We start from the raw sequence: 8,233 nt of genomic DNA on the forward strand, positions 1-8,233 counted from the left end.
GCCCCAAAGAAGGGCATGTTTCAGCCCTGTTTGTGTTACTGCTCTTTCAGTACCACCATTCGGCAAGTCTGGAGTTCTTATCCCAAGTTCAGGAAGAATAAGGTGACAACTGGAGGGTGAGCAAGGAGGAGAGAGTAGCTTTATGGAGTGACAGAACAGCTCTCAGGAGACCTGAAGTGGGTAGCTCCTTTCCGCAGCCAGGTGACAGTGATGAGTGTCCAGCTCTCAGCAGAGAGGAGACTGCGCAGGGTAGAACTCCTTTCTGCAGGCAGGTCATCCCAACGCCTGTTAGAATTTGGCAGAGTCCAGGGTTTTTATGGACTCATAAAGGAAGAAGTTCATGCTGATTGGTCTATGGGCAGTCATCTGCGAGCTGGGAAAAAGCACCGTCAGTTCTCACTCCGCACTGTGGACTCCACCAGGAACTGGCAGCCTGGCCCCCAGGCTTCAGGCCATCCCTGGCTTGAAGGTGGGGTTTGAATGGGAACCCAAGCCTTTGAGCCCAGGAACCTGTTGTCTTCCTCCTGCCGTCAACATGCCATCCACGGTGCCCCTGTTTTTCATGCTAAGGGGCGCCTGCAGGTCCACCTGGAGCCACCCTTAGCCCCGCCTCGACCTCCTTCCCATGCTCATTGGCACCTAAAGTCCAGAGGGGGCTGAGGTTGCAGGGGGCCATCGTGTCAGCACTGCCCTGAGCACGTGCACACCCAGCCGTGTTGCGAAAGCGCCTGGGCTCAGCCACAATTTTGCTCTGTCCCTGTGCGGGCACTGGGAGTGATCGCAGACACTTTCGACCCTGCAGGGACAGGGGGTTTCCTGGGCCTCCGAGAGTACAGAGATGCTCGGGTCCAGAACCATGGCTGGGCGGCTGCAGCTGCACCCGGAAGTGCGGGCTTCCTGCCCCTCCAACTTGGTGGAGGGCAGCGGTGCCACCTGTTCCCGGTCCCTGCTTGCTCTGTGAAGCACGCACCCCACGCCTCCTCGGCTGTAGATGATGTCCCCACAACAGCTGCTCCAGACAGGCCGCCACCACCATCTGCACAAAGTGGAAAGTAATCAAGTTTCTTCATTTTTCCATTTTGAATAACTAATTAGCACAACAACCGTTATAAAAATATTATTTTCTCACATTTTTGCAATTATATTTTTGTCATGAAAATGTTTCCAGGGACTGGGCATGCTGTTTCAAGCCCGTAATCTCAGCACTTTGGATGGCTGAGATGAGAGGATTGCTTAAGACTAGGAGTTCAAGACCAACCTGGGCAACAGAGAGATACTATGTTCTATAATTTTTTATTTTTACTTTTAATTAGCTGGGCTAATTAATCCTAGCTACTCAGGAGGCTGAGATGGGAGGATCACTTGAACCCAGGAGATGGAGGTTCCAGTGAGCTATGGTCAGGCCACTGCACTCTAGCCTGGGAGACTAGAGTCATAATGCTGTTGCCTTTTAGCAGCTTTGATGTCCGATAGTCTAAGTCTTTAAACTTTTTTTTTTTTCAAAATTGCATTTTCTGTCTGTAAGACTTTGAATTTATGTTTTTGAAAATATTTTATCTATTCAGAATATATATGTAGCATAGTGCATAAATCATGAGTGTAAGTTCAATGCCTTTTCACAAATTTATTATACCCCCATACCTAGCAGTCAAGAATTCACTTTGAGCCTTTCTAAACTCACTCCTATCACCAATCCCAAAAGTAATCACTATTCTATTATTAGATTAACTTTTCATGCTTTTGAATTTATATAAGTAGAATTATTTAACCAGGCTACTCTTTCTGCCCACTTGTGTCCACACTTTTGGCTTTTATCAATAATGCTAATATAATTATTCTTATACGTGATTTTATGTATACATATATACATACATTTCTGTATGTATACATTTTAAGATATATAATTAAAAGTGGAATTTCTAGTTTGTAGGGTGTGCACATGTTCAACTTTAGTAGTTAACAGAAAACAATATATTTTAAATGTTCTCTTTCTTTTATGAGTGCTTTTTACAACTGTTTCCTTTAATTTACTAACTCTCTCTTTAGCTCTGTCTTATCTGTTATATCTCTTTTTATCCCGAGTGTTTTTATCTTTTAGGTTTTTTCTCTTTGTGGTTTTGGTGATTGTTGTTATTATTTCATGTTGTCTGGTTTTCCCATATGCATGATGATTTTCAATTAAATGCTAAGTTTTGCATATGAAAATTTGTAGAAATAGCCTGACAGTTGGAAGTGATAACATGGTTTTCTGGAGGGACAATCCCAGGACCTTTTATTAGCGGGTATTTGTTTCTGGTTGGCAGCTGGGCCTTGAGCTTCATTCAGTAAGTCCATATTATTTTAATCTAGTTAAAATTTTAAGTGATTTTAAACTAGATGGCACACATTTTCAAGGTCAGTTTATACCCTCTTGTCTTTTACTGATAGGGTTTTCCTTTGGGCCTTTAATTCAAATCATGATGGTGTTACCAAGCCCCTTGTACTTCAGAGGACCCTAACTACATTTTCCCTCTGACACACAGACTGTTAAAATCGATGCTCAGCCCCCGCCATTCAGCTGGTGTTTGGAAATCAAGTCTCTCAATAAAAATGCAGTATAAAATGCCAGTCTCAGCAGCCAGGGCTTCAGGTCCCACTTGAAATTTGATCTTTTCATTCCTCGCTTTCCTGACTTGGTATTTCTCCAATAACTTCACACATTAAAAAAAAAAATTCTGGTTTTCTGAGTGAAATAATTAAGTATCATACAGCTGTACATGGCCTGAAACACTGCCTTAATTGGCAAAATAGTAAAAGAAAAAAATCCAAAATAATGCTTTCTAGTCCCCTTCACACCGCCATCCCTTTTTCCCCAAGGCTGTTAAGTAATAGAGTCAGTTAGACTTAATAGGGAACAAATTAGGTAAATTATTTGTGGCTAGCCCAGGAGATAATGCTCTATATTTTTCAATGCTTGTTATCCTGTTTAAAGCTATAAGGTTTTAATTATTACTTCAATTGGATCTTACAATATAAACTGGAGACTTAATCACATTATTTTTGCCTTTAGACCTAGATGGACTTTACTGATCCAAAGATGGTGACTGGGAAATATCATTTCCTCAACAAAAAAGTGAGAAGTATATGTCACCACTCTGTGAAAAATTTGAGCAGAGAAATAATATAGATTTTTTTTGTAGAGCAAACACAAGTGGTAAAATTATATCTCAGATATTACATTTCCTTTGGGATAATCTATTGAATATAACCCTATCATTTTGGTCAGAATCATTTTAACTGTGGGGTTTTTGGAAAGGTAAGTGTCTTTCTACTTCCCCAGCAGAAGACTAGATCATGTCTCATTCAGAACTTTTGGGGTATTGCACTTTTTATCTTCATCATAAAAGAATATGAAACAGCAAACACATCATGCTCCCTAAGTGTAGAAATCTCTTCATTTCCTTTCATTTGTCTTTTTCTGTTATATTCTCTCTCTCTCTTTCTGACTCTCTCTCTATTTCTCTTTCATTCTGTCTTTTTCCTTCCTCCTAAACCAGTATATGTTACACAGGAAATAAATTTTAGATAGCTGAACATAGAGATGAGTCATTTCTCAAGATAAGCTCTCACTCTAATAAGGACATATGTACCAGAATTTTAGTCCTTTGATTTATGGTGAGAACTCTTACTATCCTATCCACCAGAAAACTCACAACTTGCACATGAATTTTCTATTCTCTTCTTTATTAACAAGCTAAGATGTTATATAGAGTTTCTGTCCTCAGGGAGCCTACTTTCTAGTGGGTCTCACTGCTTGCTCATTTATGTGCTAGGCACTGTGATTGGCATTTGGAAGTAATTGAATAAATATTTACTTACATGAGCAATTGGATGAAAGGAAGAAAATGAACGGCTGATTGCTGGGTGACCATGGAATTAGAACAAACGGAATTAGGTGTTTCAAATACTTATTATGTTAAAGTTATACTAAATTGAAATGTCCATATCCCAAGTAAGAGTGCCTTTCACAAAAGCAAAAAGTCTGGGTTCCTATTTTAACTTGATTACCTTGGGTGAGGTATGGTGAGACCAGACATAGATCATGTGAGAGAAACTAGGAAGAGTTTTACAGTTTGGTTCTGCTCACAGTTCCCTGAAGAGAATGCAGCATACAATACAGTCACTCAAGACAAGAACCAGGTTGTTACTTGGCAAGAGAGGGGAGGAGGGCTATGGACAAACACCTTCACTGTGGTTTCTTTGGAAATAAAAGAGTGAGACAAGAAAAGCAGAGGGGTTGGGTAACTTCAATACTTTCTGGAAAATAGGACTTGTCCTTGGTTGGCTGGTCCTGGCCCTGGGATGATTAAGGGGGGTGTAGAGCAGCTCAGAGTCTCAGGAAGGGGATCTGACCAGCTGGCTTCTAGCCAGCACATGATGTAGTCTATTGCTGACTCAAGACAGCACTCGCACACACATACACACATACCCCTAAATTATAGTTTCTGCATTTCCTCTTTCACCTCCAAGAAAAGCTGTCATTGGCCTTAGCAACATATGCTTCACAGATATAGAAATAATAATAATAGCAGAAAGTAATAAAAAATATTAAGAGAGAGAAAGAAAAAAAGAAAAGAAAAGAAAGAGAGAGAAAGAGAGAGAAAGGGAGAAAGCTAATGACCTCATCTCCCCAATAAGTGCCCTTTTCTTGCCAGATCAATGTCTTTATCTAAAAGACAAATTCTTCTTTTAGATACAATTCCAATATTTATAAGTCTATCACCAATTTATTCTTTGGTGCCTGTGAACAGAACCATTTTTTAAGTTATCTTTCATTGTAAAAGCAATAGAAAGGATGAGATAAGATTAGGAAAACCTAAGATAGGAACCCCAGACTGCTATTACTCTGTTCAACACTTTCCTTTCCTCTTCTGACATAAAATGGGTGTGGAAGAGCAGTAAATGTCTCTTTTTAAATAAATTAGGTAAAGGGAGTACAATGTTATTTAATGGACATAATACATAGTGGTTTTGTATTTCCATTTGTAGTGACATTGGAAAACCAAGTAGAAACAATTAGCAAACTGTGTGTAACCTATTTAAACATTCACTAAAATGAGGCTTGTAAATTTTAATAGCGAGGTTTTCAAGGTCTATCTTGGGTTATCTATTCTTACAGAGAAATGTCCTACTTATATTACCATATTTTTTTTTCCTATAAAGGTTAGCCTGGCAAAAGCAGAAAGGAGAAACACACCACACACACACACACACACACACACACACACACACACACACACACAATCACCTTTGATACTTGCCAGTGAAATATCTTGACTTGTCAACAGAGAGGTAGTTTTCCCCGATGGCAAAGACTTCATGACAATAAAGTTTGATGTTTAATTTAACATCTTTTAAGTATTTTTCTTACAAATATTATGCTATTATAAAAACTGGTTTTTGATGAGATAATTGACTTGTGTCATTTCAGTTGCTTCCTAATGTTTGTTTACATATGTGATGTTTTAGAGATTTTTTGACTACATTGGAATTTTACATGCTATTTTGATACAGATTTCAGGTAAAGACTTCACATGAATAAATGCAATCAAATTTTTCATGTGGTATTGAATCTCATGAAAGTACAATGGAAGGAGGACTGCCATGATGGGCACTCATGCTGAACTGCTAGCAGAAAACCTATAGTAGCCAAAAAGCCAACAGTCGTCAGGTGGATATATCTCAATTTAGCATGCTTTAAAGGGAACTTTCAATATCATACTGAAATTGTGAAAATGCACTTGTACATTTTTTCTTTCCAAAGTATCAATCATCAAGCATTCATATGTGGCATTATAATTAAAACACAGTGTGGATTTGGAGAAAAAGAAGAAAATGTATGATATTTGGAGTTTATATTGTAAAGACTTGCAAAAATTTTTATTAAGACTTTAGTCATCCTTTCCACCTAAACTGACTGAGTTCCCACCACATATCATATACACTATTAATGTGTTAGTTACAGGAGACAGAGAGATATAAAAGGCACAGTTACTTCTCCAATCAGGGCAGTCATTGTAGGACAAGTTGGCCATAGATTATGACAACTTACAAGATGGAATTTGTTTTGGATTTGTTTTAGTTGTTTGTTTTTTCACAAGTGCCACAGTGTTGACTTATGGACTAAATTCAGGTGATAAGTTATTTAATAATTTAATCTGAGACTTCAATTTACAGTAGTCTTTTGTCTTGAAAGTCTTGTTTACTTGAGGATGTAAGTAGCGTATATTAAGGTTGCACAATATTAAAAACATATAATGCTGGAATATAGTTTGCAAAATTGAGATAAGCAGAATATAAGGCAATGCAAAACATTTAACAATTTTGAAAACGGAGAAGCATTGAAAGTTTGGCAGGATAATGTCAGTATGGAATTAAATGGTCTTAATAATGACTATGCCATCTTTCCATGGAGTGGATGGGAGACTATGCCAGTTAACTCTTTACGCTCCTATCTATTACCTCTTCTTCTCTTGCTCTATTCTCTTATTCAGGGTGATGATATTTTCCAGATTCCCCTTTTCTCTGACTTCGACTTCTCTTCATTCCATAAGACACCTTCATATCACAAATATTATCTAAATCAGATATAGGTGAGACTGAAGTACAAGTCTGCTCCATTTCTCCAGGCATGCAACATGAAGGAGGCTTCCTCTAGCTTTCTGCTTTGCAGTCTTTTTCAACAGCATCTGGTGAGGTTCATGGAAGAATCTGAGAGTGCATGTCAACTCCCCCGTTGTCTGTGACTCCCAGGGCTTTTGTACTCAGAGGTTATAACATACTCAGTATTGAAGAGTATTTTAAATATCTTAACTGAATTCTTTTCTAATTGTATGGCAGCAATTTGTCATCCCACAATTTTCCCCAAGTAATGGAATATTCATGTCTTTTCTCTCTTTGCAGGCAGTTTTCTTACCTTAAATTCCAGGCTAGTTGCTTTCACTGTGATTTTGGCTCTTTGATTAGTTCAATAAAAGTTATGATTTTGTATATTATCCAACTTTTCTTTGTTAGAATGGACAAAATTCTGTGTCCCCTTTCTACTTCCTAAGAAAAAGACACAAGTCCTCAGAATACTTTCTATACCATAAGTTTACTCTGCCCTTACTTCTTCATATTGTTCTAGGAGTTTTAGTTTGTAAAAAAAGCAAAATTTCATTTTTATGCATGATCACATTATTGCCTCTCTTATCTTTTCCCTTTACAGTACTGAAAAATAAATACTTAGGAAACAATAATTCCAGTAACTATTTTCCCCAAAATAAAGGAGAGCTATCACAAAGGTGTGGTTCTCAACTCTAGAAATCCCTAGCCTCATTCTCCTCTTCCATAATTTGAAGGCCAGTATGTACTACTGCAATAAAGAGTCTTCAAATGTAGGTGCAGTGTATCAAAAACATCTAAAATTTCCTCAGATTTTCAGGTCTTGATATTGATCTGGACATTTAGAAAATTGTAGACTCTAGGCAGAATGGTGAGACCTTACCAACAGTTCTGCTTGTCTTTATTATTTTTAATCAGTGATATAGGATAACAAAGATGTTTCATGGATTTTTATTCTACTAACATGATTCTGATTCTTGTTGATGATAAAAGGAATATTTACTTATGTTTCATCTTACTGCATTAGTCTTATCTTTCTCGGTGAACAACAATGTCTTAAAAGTAATTCCTCCAAAAATTTTAACTCTAGTTTTTTTCTAAATGCCTACAGTTTCACTAGAAATATTATTCACCAACCCTACCATCATCCCATTATATAAAAATATACACCTGCTAAATGATAGTGTTAAGACCTTTCTTAATACATTTGTGTCAGGGTCATTGGAGCTATGGTCTTTTGCTAATATTTAGAGGGGATTAATCATAATAATTATAGAGTACAAAGTGAATAGTGTTTTTATCTGATTTAATAATGGCAAAGTGAAAAGTTTTTCTGTCATTCTAAGTATTGTTTATTTTACATTAGGCAAAAATACCAACAAAAAAAGAGAAACAGCACTTATTAAGCATATACAGCATATCAGATGCTGTGAGATATGTTAAATACAGTATTTCTAATTTGCACTGTTGAATCAAAGGAGTTGACACTCAAGAAATTGAATCAATATCTTGAAATCAAAGCAAAATTTTAATTCGCATCTCTTGAATTACAAGTCATGCACCTTCTCTTGAACTCTTACAGATTACTTCC

The 8,233-nt window shown here is 37.4% G+C and overlaps 1 annotated feature.

Annotated features, from left to right (window-relative positions):
- Positions 293-1,268: an enhancer, noted in NCBI's record as "H3K4me1 hESC enhancer chr16:61615153-61616128 (GRCh37/hg19 assembly coordinates)". NCBI's record gives its function as "activates a minimal SCP1, AML or CMV promoter by ChIP-STARR-seq in naive H9 embryonic stem cells {active_cell/tissue: H9 hESC(naive)}" and the evidence as "EXISTENCE:reporter gene assay evidence [ECO:0000049][PMID:30033119]".

Source organism: Homo sapiens, chromosome 16 (genome assembly GCF_000001405.40).
Source record: "Homo sapiens chromosome 16, GRCh38.p14 Primary Assembly".
NCBI lineage: Eukaryota > Metazoa > Chordata > Mammalia > Primates > Hominidae > Homo > Homo sapiens.